The 22,014-nt window shown below is 38.5% G+C and overlaps 1 long non-coding RNA gene across 24 annotated transcripts in view; it reads left to right on the forward strand.

The window, feature by feature from the left end:
- Positions 1-22,014, forward strand: part of SAMMSON (survival associated mitochondrial melanoma specific oncogenic non-coding RNA) — a 435,002-nt gene that overhangs the window by 10,413 nt on the left and 402,575 nt on the right. For 20 of the 24 annotated variants that reach the window (NR_186029.1, NR_186026.1, NR_186027.1 and 17 more), the window contains 2 exons: positions 2,357-2,598; positions 3,520-3,672. This is a non-coding gene — a long non-coding RNA (survival associated mitochondrial melanoma specific oncogenic non-coding RNA). Of the gene's footprint in view, positions 1-2,356; positions 2,599-3,519; positions 3,673-3,793; positions 6,043-14,817; positions 15,207-20,334; positions 20,729-22,014 lie in introns of those variants that run through there. The other 4 variants (NR_186009.1, NR_110000.2, NR_186011.1 and 1 more) reach the window with 3 other exon arrangements.

Here is a 22,014-nt window from a genome sequence, read left to right on the forward strand (position 1 = left end):
AGACAGTTTGTTATAACTTCTGTTCTTTTACATTTGCTGAGGAGTGCTTTACTTCCAACTACGTGGTCAATTTTGGAATAAGTGTGATGTGGTGCTGAGAAGAATGTATATTCTGTTGATTTGGGGTGGAGAGTTCTGTAGATGTCTATTAGGTCTGCTTGGTGCAGAGCTGAGTTCAATTCCTGGATATCCTTGTTAACTTTCTGTCTCGTTGATGTGTCTAATGTTGACCGTGGGGTGTTAAAGTCTCCCGTTATTATTGTGTGGGAGTCTAAGTCTCTTTCTAGATCTCTAAGAACTTGCTTTATGAATCTGGGTGCTCCTGTATTGGGTGCATATATGTTTAGGATAGTTAGCTCTTCATGTGGAATTGTTCCCTTTACCATTATGTAATGGCCTTCTTTGTCTCTTTTGATCTTTGTTGGTTTAAAGTCTGTTTTATCAGAGACTAGGATTGCAACCTCTGCCTGTTTTTGTTTTCCTGTTTATTGCCAAACCTTCGCCATAGCACCAAGGGGAAGATGGATGCTATTTTCACTGATGTCATTCTTGTGTCTTAGGGTTCCTGTTAAAACCCCAACTTCCTGTTAATAACCTATTTGTAATTTCAGCATATGTAATGTCTTTGGAGTAATTGGCTCCAGAGTGGCGTATGTGCCATTGTATTAGTTAGTTCTTTTGCTGCTATAAAGAACTTTTACTGCTTTCCTAGACTGGGTAATTTATAAAGGAAAGAGGCTTAATTGACTCACAGTTCCGCATTGTCGGGGAGGCCTCAGGAAACTTACAAACATGGCAGAAGGCAAAGGAGCAGCAGGCACCTTCTTCACAGGGCTTTAGGACGGAGTGAGTGCAAACAGGGGAAATGCCAGACGCTTATAAAACCATAAGATCTCGTGAGACTCACTGACTATCGTGAGAACAGCATGCAGGTGATGCTGTTGCCTGGTTCCAACCTTGACAGCAGGATTCAGTTACCTTCACCTGGTTCCAACCTTGACTCATGGGGATTGTAGGGATTACAATTCAAGGTGAGAGCCAAACTATATCAGCCGTATACTGCCCTGGTTTTTATACTTTGGGGTATTACTCAAGGGTTCTTCACCTTTTTATACCCTTTTATTTTTAATTACTGTAGATACATAATAGTTTTACATATTTCTGAGGTGCATGCTATCATCTGTTTTTTGTGAAGTTTACTGGAACACCATGACTTTATTTATATATTGTCTATGGCTACCTCTAAGAAAATGAAAAAACAAAAACAAAAAGTCTTCCACTTTGTTATGCAGAGCAATACAATTTTCCTTAGTTCTCCCTTAAAACTCCATTCCAGGTCTCCTTTCAATTCCAAAGATTTGGTCAAAGCTTTGAAAATACCTATTGTTAGGACAAATGATGTTCTTAAATTTAGGGCCCCTCTTCTCAGCCCTAATATGTGGGTAAGGAGAGTTTGTTTTTTCTATTAGTCATTCAGAATGTGTATAATTTGTCTGTAAATTTAACAAAGCCAACTTTGACCCCTGAGTGCTTTCATTTAGTTGAAGATTTAAGAGAGTGAAGAGACTCCATAATTGTATGTGAGACTGAAATGAAGAGTTTACTTTTTTTTTTTTTTTTACTATGGAAGTGAAGTCAATTGGTTAAGAAGTGTCTGAAAACTGTGGGTATTTCAGTTCCATTTCTCTGATACTATAGCAAAGAAAACAAAGATTGGCAAAATCCTATAATGCCATTCAAACATAGCCTGGGAGGGAATCCAAGAACACAGGCTCTAAAACAAATAAATCACTTGCTATTATGAAGTATGGAAAGCACAGTGATCTCAGACCTAAAGAAGGAAATAATCACTGCTCATACTGTGTTTGAAAACACAAGTATTAAAGAGAGAACTGTGGAAACTTACTCTGGAAGTTTCAGATGAAATAAATTCCCAGAGATGAGTGCATCTGACAACCAGAAATGGCAACGCTGTGAGTTAGAGGTGATATGGTCTTTAGGCCAGAAGAGAAAGGGATGGTGTGAATGGTCTCAACCCCTTTCTCTAGCTCCCTCCTGGACTGAGCAGGAGAGCCTGCTGGTTCCAATCCATGATCCAGAGCTGGAGGAAAGAGATGTGACTCCAAACTGAAATCATGAAGCTTGAAGTTATTTTCAAGCAGCAGTGTCTGTTGGTCCCTGGGGAAGGTAAAATCTCTTTTACCTGCTATGGGAGTCAAAAAATGGCTCCTCAAAAATGTCTGCATCCTATCCTTGGAACCTCTGACTTTGTTACCTTTACAAGGGAAAGTGGACTTTGTAGATGTGATTAAGAATCTTGAGATGTGAAGCATTTTTTTTTTTGTTGATTATCCAGGTGGGCTCAATGTCATCACAAGGGTGCTTAAGAGGGAAAGAGGAAGCCATGAGGGTCAGAGTCAAAGGAAGACTTGAAGATACTACACTGCGGACTTTAAAGATGAAGGAAGGGGCGAAAACCAAGAATGTGGGAAGCCTCTAGAAGCTAGAGAAGGCAAGGAAACAAATTTTCCACTAGAGCCTCCAGAAGGAACACAGCCCTGCTGACCCACTGTAATGTCTGACCTCTAGATGTGTAAGGTAATACATTTTTGTTTTTTTAAGGCACTAAATTTGTGGTAATTTGTTACATCAGCCATAGAAAACTGGTGTACTTACTTGCCCCTTTTTATTCTACTACCAAGAAGGGTCTTTGACATGACCCAGTGAAATCAGAAGACATGAATTGGGCCAGACTGTAGAAGGTGCAACTTTGAGTGTGATGTAGAGAATGGTGAGGCTTTGCTGTGGCAAAGTTTTCTGTTTCTTACCTTTGGTTGTCAATGGGAAGTTCTCGTACATAGATAGGATGGTATAAGGGTCTTGGGGCCTCTTCTACCATACAAGGAAGCACCGTTCTTCCTTTTTATCTACCCTAAAAGGCTGAGTAAAGAAGATAACTGTGATCAATAATCTACTATCCAGTTTGTAGACTCTGGAGGAAGATCATCTAGTTTTGAAACATACTTGCTGTGTCATTTTAAGCAAGTCAGTTAATTTTGGTTTTCCTATTTTTGAGAAAAGGATAAAATTAACTACCTGTTCCTTTATTTAGGTAAAACACTTGAACAGTTTCTGGCATATAGTAAATGTGATGATGATGATGATGATGATGGTGATAATCATGATTTTAAGTTCCGAATTTGTCTAGGTTTTGACTCTGGCTTTGTTATTTTTAGGTTTGTAGTCTTGCCTAGTTTTTTAAAGCCTGAATGAGTTTCTTTTTTTAAAAAAATATGAACTAGAAGCAATAAGAGTAGCCTCCTCAAAGGTTGTTATGAGGAGTAAAATCATACATATAAAGCATTTGGCACATAGTAAGTGCTCAGTTATAGTCAGTCATGTTGCTTTATGAATTGTAGTCAATGGAGCTCCAGGCAAAGGAGGCCAGTACATGAGCCTCCCTAGGATGTAATTCTTCTTCATCTTCTTTCATTCCGCTTCTCCTTCTCTTTCTTTCAGGGTAGTAAGACTGAAAGTCTCAGAAAGGCACTGTTAAATTCTTATTCCTCAACTATGCAACTCAAAACTGGGGTCCTCAGCAGTGAGCGAGGGGTGAGAGAAGACACTGTATAAACATGGCACATCCTCCTGGAAAGTCAACTTTACTCAAAGGTAAATAATTTAACATATTTTTCTTTTTAAAACACACATGGATGTATTATGAAGGAGAATGCAAATTTTGCATGAATTTTTAAGAATAGGTGTGGATTATTCAACCACTTTCTTATTGCAGCTTTAGAAACCCAGCTCAAACTAGCTGAAGCAGAAAAGACATTACTGCGCCTATAAGTTGAAACTTTGGAGGGATAAATTTCAGAGGTGTGGCTAGATCCAACGGCTCTCTGGAAAACTCTGTGAAAAAAATGCTTCCTCAAGTCCAGAAACCAGAAGCTCAGGAAATTGTTGCTTGGTTCCTCTTGTTAGAGGCAGAGATTATTCAACGACCTACAGGGTAGCGTTTGAACATTGTTACCAGGAATCTTTACTTTGCCATCTTCCAAGTCTGTTCTCCTCAGTATTGGTTTCATTTACAAGCAGGCCATCTCTGCCCTCATGGCAATGATGGTCTTTACTCCAGGCTTAAGACCCTTACTATCTACTATTTCCAAAGCGGAGAGAGAACTTCCCACACCTAGTGACCTGTGACACAGGATTTTATCCTTCGTACAGAGGGAATTCAGTTGGCTAACATAATCTGCCTTCCAATGGAGTAAGAATGTCTGGACTCTTTCCTTCACCTACCCCCAAGACATGGAGGCGTCTAAAAGATAAATAAAACTTGGCAACTGACCGAAGGAGGAAGAGGGGATTTCAGGCAAAATCAACGCTGTTCACTACGAGGAGACTTCAGAAAGGTTGCCTGCTTCTGGGGAGCATAGTCCCTGATTCCTCAAGACATACGTTTATTCTTTTCTTCAATGTCTTTGCCTGCAGTCAAAACAAAACCATTACCTTTAGCCAAGTTCACACATTTCAGCCAAATCCATATGCATCGGATCAGTTCTGTAGGTTATGGGTGAGCATGAACATATAAAAGAGGCACCTGCCTGTGCCTATCTACTCCATGGAATTTCAAAAGGGGCCACTTATGGAGAATGTCTTTAGGGACAGAACCAACCACCCTGTCTTTCCTCCAACTCTCAAAGTAACTTCTGGCTTTAATCCTCAAGTGTCTATGCTGGAGTTTAAGAAAAATGTTTTTCATAGAATTCATGTGTATGATATTGCATGAGTTGTCCATCTTTGTATATATCTCAAGACTTGTGGTGTTAGTTAAAGATTCAGAGCTCTGTGTCCTGAACACAGAGTAATACCAGCATTACTAAGGATGATCGTGGGATTTTAAAATTCCTCCCTTAGATAGATCTTACGAACTTATGTTACCAATCAACATAAGTTAAGACAAAAAGAGCAAATTTAGATGTAAAACCATCTTGGGGCCAGGTGCTGTGGCTCACGCCTGTAATCCCAGCACTTTGGGAGGCCGAGGCGGGCGGATCACTAGGTCAGGAGATCGAGACCATCTTGGCCAACACGGTGAAACCCTGTCTCTACTAAAAATACAAAAAAATTAGCCGGGCATGGTGGCAGGCGCCTGTAGTCCCAGCTACTAGGGAGGCTGAGGCAGGAGAATGGTGTGAACCCTGGAAGCGGAGCTTGCAGTGAGCCAAGATCATGCCACTGCACTGCAGCTTGGGCGACAGAGCGAGACTCCGTCTCAAAAAAAACCAAACCAACAAACAAACAAACAAAAAAAAACCATCTTGGGACTTCCCTCAGCATTTTGGGGAAATGCTCTCTGATTTTAAAAAAAGTACTGGATGGCCAGAAGTGCTGTTCTTTTTTTTTTTTAAATGTTAACAAGTCGTTTATTTACCCAGTGTACAGGGAAAATCAACCTATACATCTTGTCTTTGGTAATTGAGACATTACTTAGTATCTGCAATGTTTAGAAATTTGCATTGTTGACATTTCCTGTCATCAGGTCTTACTTGAGGTGTCTTTCTTTCTTTGTTTATTATACTTTAAGTTCTAGGGTACATGTGCACAATGTGCAGGTTTGTTACATATGTATACATGTGCAATGTTGGTGTGCTGCACCCATTAACTCGTCATTTACTTTAGGTATATCTCCTAATGCTATCCCTCCCCGCTTCCCCACCCCACGACAGGCCCCGGTGTGTGATGTTCCCCTTCCTGTGTCCAAGTGTTCTCATTGTTCAATTCCCACCTATGAGTGAGAACATGTGGTGTTTGCTTTTTTGTTCTTGTGATAGTTTGCTGAGAATGATGGTTTCCAGCTTCATCCGTGTCCCTACAAAGGACATGAACTCATCGTTTTTTATGGCTGCGTAGTATTCCATGGTGTATATGTGCCACATTTTCTTAATCCAGTCTGTCATTGATGGACATTTGGGTTGGTTGCAAGTCTTTGCTGTTGTGAATAGTGCCGCAATAAACATACATGTGCTTGTGCCTTTATAGCAGCATGATTTATAATCCTTTGGGTATATACCCAGTAATGGGATTGCTGGGTCAAATGGTATTTCTAGTTCTAGATCCCTGAGGAATTGCCACACTGTCTTCCACAATGGATGAACTAGTTTACAGTCCCACCAGCAGTGTAAAAGTGTTCCTATTTCTCCACATCCTCTCCAGCACCTGTTGTTTCCTGACTTTTTAATGATTGCCATTCTAACTGGTGTGAGATGGAATCTCATTGTGGTTTTGATTTGCATTTCTCTGATGGCCAGTGATGATGAGCATTTTTTCATGTGTCTGTTGTCTGTATAAATGTCTTCTTTTGAGAAGACATTGAGATCCTTTTGAGAAGGATCTCTTCACATCTTTCACTCACTTTGTGATGGGGTTGTTTGTTTTTTTCGTGTAACTTTGTTTGAGTTCATTGTAGATTCTGGATATTAGCCCTTTGTCAGATGAGTAGATTGCAAAAATTTTCTCCCATTCTGTAGGTTGCCTGTTCACTCTGATGGTAGTTTCTTTTGCTGTGCAGAAGCTCTTTAGTTTAATTAGATCCCATTTGTCAATTTTGGCTTTTGTTGCCATTGCTTTTGGTGTTTTAGACATGAAGTCCTTGCCCATGCCTGTGTCCTGAATGGTATTGCTTAGATTTTCTTCTAGGGTTTTTATGGTTTTAGGTCTAACATGTAAGTCTTTAATCCATCTTGAATTAATTTTTGTATAAGGTGTAAGGAAGAGATCCACTTTCAGCTTTCTACATATGGCTAGCCAGTTTTCCCAGCACCATTTATTAAATAGGGAATCCTTTCCCCATTTCTTGTTTTTGTCAGGTTTGTCAAAGATCAGATGGTTGTAGATATGCGGCATTATTTCTAAGGGCTCTGTTCTGTTCCATTGGTCTATATATCTGTTTTGGTACCAGTACCATGCTGTTTTGGTTACTGTAGCCTTGTAGCATAGTTTGAAGTCAGGTAGCGTGATGCCTCCAGCTTTGTTCTTTTGGCTTAGGATTGACTTGGCGATGTGGGCTCTTTTTTGGTTCTATATGAACTTTAAAGTAGTTTTTTCCAATTCTGTGAAGAAAGTCATCGGTAGCTTGATGGGGATGGCATTGAATCTCTAAATTACCTTGGGCAGTATGGCCACTTTCACGATATTGATTCTTCCTACCCATGAGCATGGAATGTTATTCCATTTGTTTGTATCTTCTTTTCTTTCATTGAGCAGTGGTTTGTAGTTCTCCTTGAAGAGGTCCTTCACGTCCCTTGTAAGTTGGATTCCTAGGTATTTTATTCTCTTTGAAGCAATTGTGAATGGGAGTTCACTCATGATTTGGCTCTCTGTCTGTTATTGGTGTATAAGAATGCTTGTGATTTTTGCACATTGAATTTGTATCCTGAGACTTTGCTGAAGTTGCCTATCAGCTTAAGGAGATTTTGGGCTGAGACGATGGGGTTTTCTAGATATACAATCATGTCATCTGCAAACAGGGACAATTTGAATTCCTCTTTTCCTAATTGACTACCCTTTATTTCCTTCTCCTTCCTGATTGCCCTGGCCAGAACTTCTAACACTATGTTGAATAGGAGTGGTGAGAGAGGGCATCCCTGTCTTGTGCCAGTTTTCAAAGGGAATGCTTCCAGTTTTTGCCCATTCAGCATGATATTGGCTGTGGGTTTGTCATAAATAGCTCTTATTATTTTGAGAAACATCCCATCAATACCTAATTTATTGATAGGTTTTAGCATGAAGCGTTGTTGAATTTTGTGAAAGGCCTTTTCTTCATCTATTGAGATAATCATGTGGTTTTTGTCTTTGGTTCTGTTTATATGCTGGATTATGTTTATTGATTTGCATATGTTGAACCAGCCTTGCATCCCAGGGATGAAGCCCACGTGATCATGGTGGATAAGCTTTTTGATGTGTTGCTGGATTTGGTTTGCCAGTATTTTATTGAGGATTTTTGCATCGATGTTCATCAGGGATATTGGTCTAAAATTCTCTTTTTTTGTTGTGTCTCTACCAGGCTTTGGTATCAGGATGATGCTGGCCTCATAAAATGAGTGAGGGAGGATTCCCTCTTTTTCTATCAATTGGAATAGTTTCAGAAGGAATGGTACCAGCTCCTTCTTGTACCTCTGATAGAATTCGGCTGTGAATCCATCTGGTTCTGGACTTTTTTTGTTGGTAAACTATTAATTATTGCCTCAATTTCAGAGCCTGTTATTGGTCTATTCAGAGATTCAGCTTCTTCCTGGTTTATTCTTGGGAGGGTGTATGTGCTGAGGAATTTATCCATTTCTTCTAGATTTTCTAGTTTATTTGCGTAGAGGTGTTTATAGTATTTTATGGTAGTTTGTATTTCTGTGGGATCGGTGGTGATATCCCCTGTATCATTTTTTATTGCGTCTATTTGATTCTTCTCTCTTTTCTTCTTTATTAGTCTTGCTAGCAGTCTATCAATTTTGTTGATCTTTTCAAAAAACCAGCTCCTGGATTCATTGATTTTTTTGAAGGGTTTTTTGTGTCTCTATTCCCTTCAGTTCTGCTCTGGTTTTAGTTATTTCTTGCCTTCTGCTAGCTTTTGAATGTGTTTGCTCTTGCTTCTCTAGTTGTTTTAATTGTGATGTTAGGGTGTCAATTTTAGATCTTTCCTGCTTTCTCTTGTGGGCATTTAGTGCTATAAATTTCCCTCTACACACTGCTTTGAATGTGTCCCAGAGATTCTGGTATGTTGTGTCTTTGTTCTCATTGGTGTCAAAGAACATCTTTATTTCTGCCTTCATTTCGTTATGGACTCAGTAGTCATTCAGGAGCAGGTTGTTCAGTTTCCATGTAGTTGAGTGGTTTTGAGTGAGTTTCTTAATCCTGAGTTCTAGTTTGATTGCACTGTGGTCTGAGAGACAGTTTGTTATAACTTCTGTTCTTTTACATTTGCTGAGGAGTGCTTTACTTCCAACTACGTGGTCAATTTTGGAATGAGTGCGATGTGGTGCTGAGAAGAATGTATATTCTGTTGATTTGGGGTGGAGAGTTCTGTAGATGTCTATTAGGTCTGCTTGGTGCAGAGCTGAGTTCAATTCCTGGATATCCTTGTTAACTTTCTGTCTCGTTGATGTGTCTAATGTTGACAGTGGGGTGTTAAAGTCTCCCGTTATTATTGTGTGGGAGTCTAAGTCTGTTTCTAGATCTCTAAGGACTTGCTTTATGAATCTGGGTGCTCCTGTATTGGGTGCATTTATATTTAGGATAGTTAGCTCTTCATGTTGAATTGTTCCCTTTACCATTATGTAATGGCCTTCTTTGTCTCTTTTGAACTTTGTTGGTTTAAAGTCTGTTTTATCAGAGACTAGGATTGCAACCCCTGCCTTTTTTTGTTTTACATTTGCTTGGTAGATCTTCCTCCATCCCTTTATTTTGAGCCTATGTGTGTCTCTGCACTTGAGATGGGTCTCCTGAATACAGCGCACTGATGGGTCTTGACTCTTTATCCAATTGGCCAGTCTGTGTCTTTTAATTGGAGCATTTAGCCCATTTACAGTTACGGTTAATATTGTTATGTGTGAATTTGATCCTGTCATTATGATGTTAGCTGGTTATTCTGCTCGTCAGTTGATGCAGTTTCTTCCTAGCATCGACGGTCTTTACAATTTGGCATGTTTTTGCAGTGTCTGGTACCGGTTGTTCCTTTCCATGTTTGTGCTTCCTTCAGGAGCTCTTGTAGGGCTGACCTGGTGGTGACAAACAGAAGTGCTGTTCTTAGGAATTAATATTCCATATTAACACATTCAAGGGCCTGAGAAGTCTTGCAGTAAGGAACCCTGTTTGGCTTTGTTTGACAGCCTTTGTCACACTTATTGGCAACTTGGGTAACAACTATTAAAATTTGGTGGAATGTGAGTTCCCTGAATCCTCTCTGTGAAGAAATGCTTCTTCAAGTCCAGAATCCAGAAGCTCAGGAAATTCTTGCTTGGCTCTCTTTTCACAGGCAGAAACAATGCAAAGGCCTTAAAGGTAGAGTTAAAAATGCTCTTGTGCATCACAACCAGACAAATGATGGTGTTCCTGCAGCATATGAGGGACTGGGCCGAGCACCAGTTGCAATTATGTGATTAGCCAAATCCCCACGTCAATTTTGCAGAAAAGAGTACTAAATATGGATCTAAAAGTCATGTTTATTCCCTTTTATTCTTTCCTTTAGCCTTCTCTGTCTCCTCAATTCTTTATTTTTCCACAATCAAGAGCTAAGAGATTAATGCAGAAAGCAAAAATTCAACAGGAACATGGGTCTTCAGGCACCCTAGACGAAAGAGTACAATTTTTGACCTCTCCTAGGAAATGACCAAAGGAACTGAAATTATGCAAATGCTCTGGATTTGCACTGATTTTCTTCTATTAGTCTGCCCACCAATATGGAGACTGTGGCATCTGTGGTAGTGGCAGATGAATCAACAGAACCAGGCCTGGCTGCAGGCAAACTTGTCAAAGAGGTGGTGGTGTTTATTGCAGAGTCTTCCCATCCCTGTGCAGCTTGGGATGGCAGAGCCTGCAAACTCCTCATACTCCACAGCTTTCATCCACACATTTCTCTTCGCCTTCTAATCATCTGATTGAGCCTACTTGGATCTCATTCCTTTCCCATTAGCTAATGAGAATAGTAACAATAATAATTAATAATAATAATGATAATAGCAGTAGCAGCTACTGTTGATCGAGCGCCTTTTACAATTCAGGCATGATGCAAAGTAAGCCCTTTATGGACATCATTCCACGTCATCTTCCCAACAACTGTAGGAAACATGCATCCTTATATAAACATACCTTGTTATTTAGCAATGAAGGAATGAGATTTAGAATGTTTAAGCAAGTTTCTTAGTGCCAGAAAGTGAGAAAATGGCAGAACCAAGTTCTGAAAGTGTTGGTAATGGTGAATGAAATGAAATGTTTGTATTCTAGCAGAGGCCCTCTGGAGATTATGATGCCATAGCTTCAAGAACGGAGTTAAATGTTGGAATTTTATTTTCCATGGAAAGTGACTTTAGAGCATTTCCTCTTTTCACCACATTGGCTGTTCATGGAAAACATTCCCTGTGTGTGTGTACATTCAGGGTGGGGAGGTGGGAAGAGAAGGGAGGATGTGAGACGTGAGAAAACCTTTTCCAGTAACAGGCCACCAAAACACATTTCCTGTCATAATTAGTGTAATGAGTTCTCATTTTCAGTTAAAATATATTTTTTCATATTAGATTTTCTTTTATTTCAGTTTGATATGTTTACTTTTCAAGAAAGAAGCCAGTATATGGCCTCTTTTTCAGCCTTGTTAACCTTTTGCTGTTTTTATAACTGTTTACCTATTTTTAGACATTTTAGTCAATGAAAATGATGAAGTTCATCCACTTATAAAATAAAACATCTGTGGCAAAATGAGGAAGTGGCAAAATGCTAAAAGAGCAGTCAAGAAAAACATAGCTTGTTTAAATAATGCCAAATGTATTTCTACTAGGCCTGATTATATTTAGTTTTTTCACTTTTCAAAACCTCTCTTTGGTCTTCTGTAATTAATTGTCTTTAAGGATCCAAATCATTTTCAGTGGAACGGCTCAAAGATTTTCTCAGATTGTGGTGATATTAACAGGGAAAAAAACCCATCATCATTATATATTTTATTATTTTGGGATTGTTTTCAAGCCACCAGAGTAATTGGACTGTAGCCTGCTCCAATTAATAAGGTTTTTGAGTGCATTTGTACAAATCTGTTTTTTTGGAAGCAAAAATCTTGACTTAAAAAAACTAGCTTGCAGCTGAGACTTATTGCTATGCATAGATAAAACCTGAGGGCCATTTCTTTTTTAATAATTATTTTCAAAGAAACCTATGAAATCTTCATCAACATTTTTAAGAAGTAGTTCTTATCAAGGGGAAGAAAGACTTTGAGGTCTAAACCTGTTTAGGCACCAGAATGGAGGCGGTAGGTGACAGCGTTTCACATCACCTGCTGAGTATTAGTAGTGCTTGCTGGAAGGCAACATCTTAACGAGAAGGGCCTTTTGTTTTTTACCAATTTAAAGATTTTGTTCCTCCAATAATCTGTTGTCCTTGAGTTGGGGCTAGAATATACAGGGATTTCTACAAACCGATTCTGCCCAGTAATTCAGGGGATTCAAATGACAACGTGATATTCCAACTGGCCCCCCAAATGTACCTAATTTGATTTCATTAAGAAATTGTTGCCGGGTGGGGGGAGGGAGGAGGGATAGCATTAGGAGATATACCTAATGCTAAATGAGGAGTTAATGGGTGCAGTACACCAACATGGCACATGTATACATATGTAACAAACTTACACATTGTGCACATGTACCCTAAAACTTAAAGTATAATAACAAAAAAAAAAAAAAAAAAAAAAAAGAAATTGTATTGTGATACTGCCAGTAGGGAAGACAGACAACCAGTTATTTATGAGTCCTCGTGTTTTTTTGGTTCTTTTGGTCTTTCAGTTGGGAACATTTATGGAACTAATTTTATTTCGTATTGCAAAATCTATGTAGCACTCTGACTTGTATCATAAATTCCAAAGACAATTCTAATTGACTAGATGAAATAAAGTCCCTTTGGACTTAGCATCTTACCATTTCACCATGTCTTCTTGGGTTGTTTCTCAAGAATACCATTAAATAATTCACTGATTCTCATCAAGTTTGGTGCACAGCTAAAGGGCCTAAGCCCTTCTAAAAGATTCAAGTTTCATTTGGTTTGACTTTCTCATTTTGAAACAAAATATTAGCTGACACCATTTTCAAGTGGAATAGCTCTGCCATGTAAAAATTGTTTTTGTTATCATTTTATTCTGGGGATGAAGGAAAGATTGAGTGGATACATTTCTTGTGAAGAAAAAGTTGGGTTGGTATTTCATGTAATTGCCTTGAATTAAGACAATGGTTAGAAGAATTGGGTCCAATTTTCCTATTAATACAGTATTCCACTGGACACTAAAACATCGCTATGATCCGAATTGCAAAATCTCACCTCATCTCATAATCTCTGCTTTGATGTTGGCTTCTTAAAATTCATTTTAGTGAAAAGTGCAAATAATTTCCAGTCTCAAAGACTAGGAATCTTATATGTTTCTTTAGGCCAGGCACGGTGGCTCACGTCTGTAATCCCAGCACTTTGGGAGGCCGAGGCAGGCAGATTACGAGGTCAGGAGATCGAGACCATCCTGGCTAACAAAGCGAAACCCCGTCTCTAGTAAAAATACAAAAAAAAAAATTAGCCAGGCGTGGTGGCAGACGCCTTTAGTCTCAGCTACTTGGGAGGCTGAGGCAGGAGAATGGCGTGAATCCAGGAGGTGGAGCTTGCAGTGAGCTGAGATTGCTCCAGTGCACTCCAGCCTGGGTGACAGAGCAAGACTCTGTCTCAAAAAAAAAAAAAGTTTCTTTATTTCTTTATATTCTTTATTTATAATATGTTTCCTTTATTTCCTGTAGTCATGAATTTCTTACTGTGTAGCTATTACTCATGCCACTGTTCAAAATTAACATCTGGGAGGCAGTGTTCATAGTAAGTAAAAATGTGAATCTTAACTCTGCTGTAACTTCTCCTCCTACTTCTCCTTGATTCAGTAATTATCGGTGGCTCCCATTTGTCCACTATCAGAAATTTAGCTGCATTTGCTTGTTGTTTGAAGCAAGGTATGATCTCTATTTCGAGCTCTTGCCATGTCCATTTCTTTTGTCATGTGTATGTATTCCAATAAAACTTTATTTACAAAAATAGGCCTGGGCCAAATTTGGACTGCAAGCCATAGTTTGCCAACCTGTTATTGAGTCTTACAACCTACACCATGTCCATTTCTGTCTCTGTCCTTCTGTTCATATTGAGCTTTCCTCCCAGAATGCCCACAGTTTTTCCTTCTGCCTGTCTCCAGCTGACCTTATCAGGCTTGGTGCAGCTCTTCCTTCCTATTTTTTTCCTAATCATGGTTACCCAAACTGGTCTATCCCTAATTTCACATCTGCCTCAATCACTAGCAGGTCTACGCAATTCTGCCTGGGATTGCACTCTCATTATTCTGTCTGTCTCATTTCCTCAGTTAGATTGGCAGTTCTTTGACCCAAAGAACAATGTCTCACATTTCTTTTATATTCCTACAATGAGCGGTACAAGTCTAGACATATAGTGGAAATGGAACCATTGCATGCTTTTCACTGATATACGATGATAAAAGCTTAATAGTTTCCTATTATTTTTCATGATTTATCTTCTCTGTTTTTACAAATCCACTTCTTCTAGTTGTCACAAATTAAACATTAGGCAGACATATAATTTCTGATTGGAATAGAAACTAGTAGATGATATTAGACCAGCATTACCTCAAAAATAATAATAAAATTAGCTGATATTTGTCAACAACTCATCATATACCACCAAATGAAATGTAGGATTTGAGAAAACAAGCTGTTTGCCCAAAGACATGGAGCCAGTAAGCAGCAAAGCCTCTGATGCCAGGAGACCCCTCCCAGCCACCATGCTCTGCTGCCTCCCAGCTGAATTTTGCTTCCCCGTAATCCGTGGTTCTTCACTTGGTCCTTGAAAGATACTTACATGGAAGAGGCAAAGGAAAGCATTCGGATTTTCCTTTGTTGACAGGGGCTTTGACTACAAACCTCATCGTAGAAGACCGTCATTTAGGCTGGTTCCAAGAAAGGCTTTTTGCTTTGTTTTCCAGAGATGAGAATCTAAACTGAATAATCTGTTTGCTTCTACCTTGTGCAGATCTTGGATCTTAACATTGATAGCAAAACAAAAGATGCAGAGGAAAAGGAGTGAGAGAGGCAGAAAACTCAAGAATGTTTAATTCCTTGGGGCTGTTTAGTCAATTGTGAGAAGAGGTGGAAGATGACCTAAGACTGTTGAGGTCATGAGCTTGCCCCATTCTTGGTGAAAGGGGAGAAGATGGGGCTGGAAGAGGCCTTGAGCTTCCTGTAGATAACACCATGGGCTAAGATCTACATAGTTACAAAGGGCATGTTATTTTATGATAAAATCTGTGAACTCCAGAATGTTTGCCAGTTGGCTGATGTGGTAAAGTCCGAGGCATATTGTCACTTAAAAGAATTTAGAGAAAAAGATATTTTGGAATAAATACCATAGTTTTATGTTAATGCTGAGTCTCCAGTTGTTTTATGTTTTATTTTATTTTTATTTATTTATTTTTTTGAGATGGAGTTTCATTCTTCTCACCTAGGCTGGAGTGCAGAGGCACAATCTCAACTCACTGCAACCTCTGCCTGCCAGGTTCAAACGATTCTTCTGCCTCAGCCTCTTGAGTAGCTGGGATTACAAGTTCCCGCCACCACACCTGGATAAGTTTTGTATTTAGTAGAGAAGGGGTTTCACCATGCTGACCAGGCTGGTCTTGAACTCCTGACCTCAGGTGATCCACCCGCCTCGGCCTCCCAAAGTGCTGGGATTACAGGCATGAGCCACCGTGCCTAGCCTGTTTTATGTTTAAGTAGCTAACAACCACCTTAAACCATAAATCCTGTTCCCAGAAAGAAGTCAGAAAATAGCAAACAGAAAGATGAAGACCCTTGAACAACATGGGAGTTTGGGGCACCAATCCCACGCGGTTCACAATCTGAGTATAACTTTTGACTCACTACAAACTTAACTACAATAGCCTTCTGCTGGCCAGAACCCTGACTGAGAACATGCAGTCTGTTAATACGTATTTTGTATGTTATATGTATTATATACTGTATTCGTACAATAAAGTAAGCTAGAGAAAAGAAAATGTTATTAAAAAAATTGTAAGGAACATATATTTGCTATTTGTTAAGTGGAAGTGAATCATCATATGGTCTTCATTCTCATCATCTTCATATTGAGTAGGCTGAGGAGGAGGAGGAAGAGGAGGGGTTGGTCTTGGAAGAAAATCAGCATATAATTGGACCCATGCATTTCAAACCCATGTTGTTCAGGGTAATGGAAATGACAAACAATGAAATTTTAGTAATTTATAAAAGTAAAAAAAGAGAAAATAATTTTGGAAAATCGTTTAATGACACAGTGAGGTGTTTCTTACTTAGATATTTTATTTTGCTAAGGTGCTAAGTTATTTTATGAAATGAAATAATGTCATTGGAAGATGATATTTACTGCTGCTCTCCAGACATTGAATATATTCTGTTTTAACTTCTGAGAACAGGATTTCTGATTTCAGGAACTAGTGTTCCTGATTTAGTGTAGTTGTTAGCCGATTGAATATAAGACAGTTTGAAGGTCAGGAATTAATTTATTTTATTCATTTTTTTCCATTCCTTCCTTCTTTCTACTTTTTCCTCTGTTTCAGTCTTTCTCACTTGTCTCTCTTTCTTCCTCTATGTTTCTTTCCCACTGAAATCAAGATTTCCTGCTGGTTAGTAAAGCTTTCCTAAATATCTGAGGGTACTGCTTTAGATGACAGACTGCAGAAATATTGAAGACATATCAAGTCCCTGATCACCACAGACAAGTGGTCTAGACTAGGATTTTTTCCTCTGTCCACAACATCCTGTGGGAGGAAAATTGTTAAGATCACATAATATGATAATCTTATGGTAGCCCGAGAGATGCTGATGGAAGCTCCAAGTCTCTTTAGAGATTCATGTTGATGATCACGCAGTAAAAGGAGCAAGGGTCCTCTGAGTTTACCACACTAAGTTTCTGAACTGGTTAGCAATGTCAACCTACTTGGTGGAAATATATTAATTGGACAAAATTGTGTGATGGTGCAAGCATGACATTTTATCCTATCAGTCTTTTCTTTTTCTCTTAGCATAATGAATATTGATTAAACCCAGTTAAAGAAGCATCCCCGGATGGTGGAATAAGGCAACAAATTGAATTGGGACATCATTTTAGCACTGACTCCTGGAGGCCCAGTGCTTAAAATGAGAAAGTAGGGCTGATTCCCAGACTCTACTGGGAGTTTGTAAAATGGGTTCTTTAAAACCATTTTAACAAAGAAGTCTGCGACCCTGCAGATCACACTCCTGTTCATGATTCAGAACGTTGAGGCATTTTCATTTGCTATAATTTTCTTTGAGGTTGAGTGTTCATAATGATTTATTTCGGTAGTTAGCTAAAATATTTGTGTCCTATTTAGACAAAGTAATGGAGAGGGAAGCATTGTGGACTTTGAAGAATGGAAATGGGAGAATTGAGCTTTAGGAAAAATGTATCATCAGCCATGTAGAAAGTGAGAATTTGGTATAGACTAATTAATTGTGACTCAATTTTTGTTCTAATACCCTTGAAGACATCAGATGTTAATCTCCTTTCTCTCCTTTGGAGAATCTACTGAAAAATTTAAGTGAGCAAGAGGTGGACTAAATTAGAGTTTTCTTGAAAGCCTTGACTGAAATTTATCATCAAGCTTGTGCTAGGTTATCTCTCAATATACCAACCCACTAATTTTAGAAACCTTCCCTCTTTGTCATCAAAAATCAATTTAATGTCATGAAGAATCATTTTACTAAATCGAGCAAGTTGTAAAGATTGTTATGAGGGTTGGAGTAGGTTGATAGCAACAAATACTGGTTTATTTTAGAATAACACTACCAAGGTGGATCTATGCATTTATTCTCTTACACCAAATCTATTCTTAGACCCATTCATCCCCAGATGTTGCCATCTTAGAAGCCATACATCATCAGAGTAAGGTGCTCCTATAATGTATTGCACTAATATATTGTGCAAAGGACAGCACTGATGATAAATTTCTTAAATGATGGTGCTGTCTAAGGCTAATGACTCTAAGAGCAAATGCAAGGTAATGCGGTGATTTCTTTTCGGGCCCCAGCAAAGAATACAGAAGACATCTCAAAGCCGTTTTCATTTGGGGGTAATATTGAAATAGACAGTATTTAAAAGGCCTTTGCAACACACAATTCAGCAGTATTAGGGCAAATGTGAATGGCTTTGCATTTTCAGTTAAAAGCCACTTAATACTTTACCTCGTTGAGTCCTTCCTTCTTGCCTGCCTGCCTGCCTTCCTTCTTTCCTTCCTTCCTTCCTTCCTTCCTTCCCTTCCTTCCTTCCGTCCCTTCCTTCCTTCTTTCCTTCCTTCCTTCCTTCCTTCCTTCCTTCCTTCCTTCCTTCCTTTCTTTCTTTCTTTCTCTCTTTCTTTCTTTCTCTTTTTCTTTCTTGTCTTTCTTTCTTGCATTTTAGACAGCTAAAAAACACCTCAAGTTGTTATTTGATGAGGAATAGCAGTTGAGGCCTTACTCTCTCTTTGTGGGAATGATGTGCCTTGTGCTTCTTTGAATATGTTGTGTTTGCTTTCAGGTCTTTACTTTAGGCAGGAGATACATTCCCAAGACCATTCACACAATTGCAGCCAGAGGGGTGAACTGATGGGGAGAATTTGTGGCTGTGAGACTCTTGTTCTTTGAAAAGATTTGTGGGTAGGTGGCAAATTCCTGTCTATGCCACAGAGTTGTGTCACATCCAGGCCCAGGAAATGCCTGGTTATGCATTAGTTGGAAAAAAATCCCTAAATTTGAGAAATTAAGAGGTAAAATGAAATATTTAATGGAAGATTTTGGTAGAAGACATTCCTTTGGGCTGTGTGGTCTATTCTCTTTGTGCTAACCACAGCAAAAACTGTGACAGAATTATTTCTTAGTCTAGGGGATGAAGCCTCTCCAAATATTTTCATTCTCATTCTTTGGGCATACTCAAAATGAGATGTGTCTCATGTTTTTCTAGTGGTAAAAATGTCATCCACGCAGTGGAGTTTTCTCACCGATGATAATGATAGTAGTAAGAGGTAAAACATATTTGTCATTGCCAGCTACTGGTCTGAGTGCTTTCATACATTGCCCACTGAACTCAAGCAGGTACAGTTGTTAAGCCCATTTGACAAGTGAGCAGTCTGGGCTTAGAGAGATTAAGACACTTGTTCCGGGTGACTAGGAGATCTGGTATTTGGACGATATGACTCCTGTGTCCATGAGCTAAACCATTATACCATATTGCAGGTGCATGTAATTTAAAATTAATCCTGTGTCTTCTTCTGCATCACAGCATGTGATAGGAAGTATCAAGTCATAGACTGGACTTGAAAATAAATAATTTCATTGCCCAGTGCATTGGTTTTTATCAGAATAATACACTTAACCCGTCCTTCTTTTCAGCCAGACACATACATAATAATAAGAGTAATTCTCTCCTCTTTGACTGGATGTCATATCAAATTTTAAAGTCTTTTAAACATACCATTATGCCTAATCTTTGAACAATGGATGAGACCAATGTGGAACCTTTTCTTAGTTTAATGTCCCTTCAAAGTTCTCTTCTCTCTGTTGAGAGCTAGAATAGTGCTTCTAAACCTCCCATTTAGCCAGAAAGTAGCATTATCTTTCTATTAATTATCCCTTAATTTGGCGGGGCGTGGTAGCTCATGCCTGTAATGCTCCCAGTTTGGGAGGCTGAGGTGGGCAGATCAGTTGAGGCCAGGAGTTTGAGGCCAGCCTGGCCAACATGGTGAAATCCCGTCTCTACTAAAAATACAAAAAATTAGCAAGGCTTGGTGGCATGTGCCTGTAGTCCCAACTGCTTGGGAGGCTGAGGCACAAGAATCACTTGAACCCGGGAGATGGAGGTTGCAGTGAGCCGAGATCACACCAGTGCATTCCAATCTGCGTGACAGAGTAAGACTCTGTCAAAAAAAAAAAAAAAAAGCCCTTAATTTGTTGGTGAAAATAGCTGCTTATTGAATTAGGTCCTTTGGGGTATAATTTTAACTTCCAATAGGAAGAATTGGTTGAAATCCTTGCTTTTTACTATTTGAGTATCGTTTGCATTAGAAATCATTTCTCTGTCCATTACTTGAGAGATTCTCACTTCTAGAATCGTTTTCTTGAATTCATATTTATTCCAGCTTCCTCCATTGTAAAGAAAAGAACTTGATTTCAATGATACTTTTAAATGAATTTAATCTTGATTCATACTCTGTGGAATATTTGTCTTGTATGAGTGCTAGTAAGAGAGAAATTGGCATGACAATGTAAAGCTTGGTTTAATATTTTTGCCAATAAATTTGTCCAGATGTGAATAAGAAAAGTTAAATAAATAATAAAAATAGCTGAGTGTTTAGTGTTATCAAATCAAATGTTTATAAAATTTTAAAAAATTTCACACATTATTTATTGCCCTATTCAGATTTTCTTTTTTGTTGCTTAAGTGATTGAGAGACTGGGAACTAGCGTCTAACTTTACTTTTCTTCTTTGTCAATTTTCTTTAAGATGGAAGGACATTGCTGGCCACCTTAAGAGACTAGATTAAGCAACCAGTTCTGATGGGTGATCATCTTGCTTCACTTTCTACAAATATAACCAGATAGCTAAGAACAAATAGCTAATATTTTCAAAAGATAACTACAGCTGTTGAGTCCTGACCATATGCCACACATGCTATTAGGTGATTCTACATCATTATCTCACTTATGTCTGACATCAGTATCCTGAGGTGGTTATTAATGGCCTCATTTTTCAAATAAGGAAACTGAGGCTCGGGAATTTTAAATGAACTCCATAGGTCTGTAAGTGGTGGAAGTGAATTTTAAGCATGTGTTTGTCTAACACCAAAACCCAATGCAAAAACAATGAAAATAAATAATCCAATTCAAAAATGGGCAAAGGACGTGAATAGACATTTGTCCATAGGATATATACAGATGGCCAGTACACATATGAAAAGATGCTCAACTCAACATTGTTAGTCATTAGGAAAATGCAAATCAACACCAAAATAAGATACCACTTCACACTCATTATGTTGGCTATTATTTTTTAAAAAAGAAAATAACAATTGTTGGCAAAGATACAGAGAAATTGGAACTCTTGTGCATTGCTGGTGAGGCGTAAAATTGTACAGGTGCTGTGAAAAACAGTTCAGCAATTTCTCCAAATTGAACATAGATTTACTATGTGGTCCAGCAATTCCACTCCTAGGTACATACCCAAAGGAATTAAAAACAAGGACTCAAACAGTTCTTGTAAAAAGGTTGATGGCAACATTATCCACAATAGCCAAAAGGTGGAAACAACCTGTGTCCATCAACAGAAGAATTCGTAAACAAAATGCAGTATATACATGCAATACAATATTATTTTTCCATAAAAAGGAATGAAATTCTGATACATGCTACAACATAAATGAACCTTAAAAACATTGCACTGAATGAAATAAGCCAGACAAAGGACAAATATGGTATGATTCCACTTATATGAGGTACCTATAATAGGTAAATTCATAGACATGGAAAATAGGATAGAGATTACCAGGGTTTGGGGGAGATAGGGGGTATGGAGAGTTATTTAATGGGTACAAAGTTTCCATTTGGGTTGGTGAAAAATTTCTGGAAATAGAGCGATGGTTGCACAGCATTGTGAATGCACTTAGTGCCACTGAATTGTACACTTACAATTGTTAAAACAGTAAATTTTATGTTATGTATAACACACAGGAGAGGGTGAAATATTTCTGGGCAAAGAAAAGACTAGGTAAGAACTGAAATGTAAAGCTAAGTATAGGCATTGCTTAAAATTGTAGTGACTATCAGTTTTAACAGATGGCAAACATTTTTGCAGGAAAAAAAAATCCTTATTTTAGGTGTATGCCTGATTAGTGGGATTTGGTTAGCTTTTCTAAATGAAACCAACTTGGTCTTCCAAGAGAATTCGATGATGAGACATTAAAACACTGTAGACCGACAGAGTTTGTAATGGCAGAGTGGTTCTTCATGCTTAAGAATAAATACAGCCATCAGCACAGTACCAGGCTCACAGTAAGCATGCAACAAAGAGTTGTTGAATGGAACACCTAAAATTATCAAAAAGCAACAGCTATGTAATAATTTCAAGTTAATGGTAAAGATTACTTATGAGTTGTGTTTTACACATTTTTGTGTGCAATGCACATTT

Source organism: Homo sapiens, chromosome 3 (genome assembly GCF_000001405.40).
Source record: "Homo sapiens chromosome 3, GRCh38.p14 Primary Assembly".
In the NCBI taxonomy this organism is placed as follows: Eukaryota; Metazoa; Chordata; class Mammalia; order Primates; family Hominidae; genus Homo; species Homo sapiens.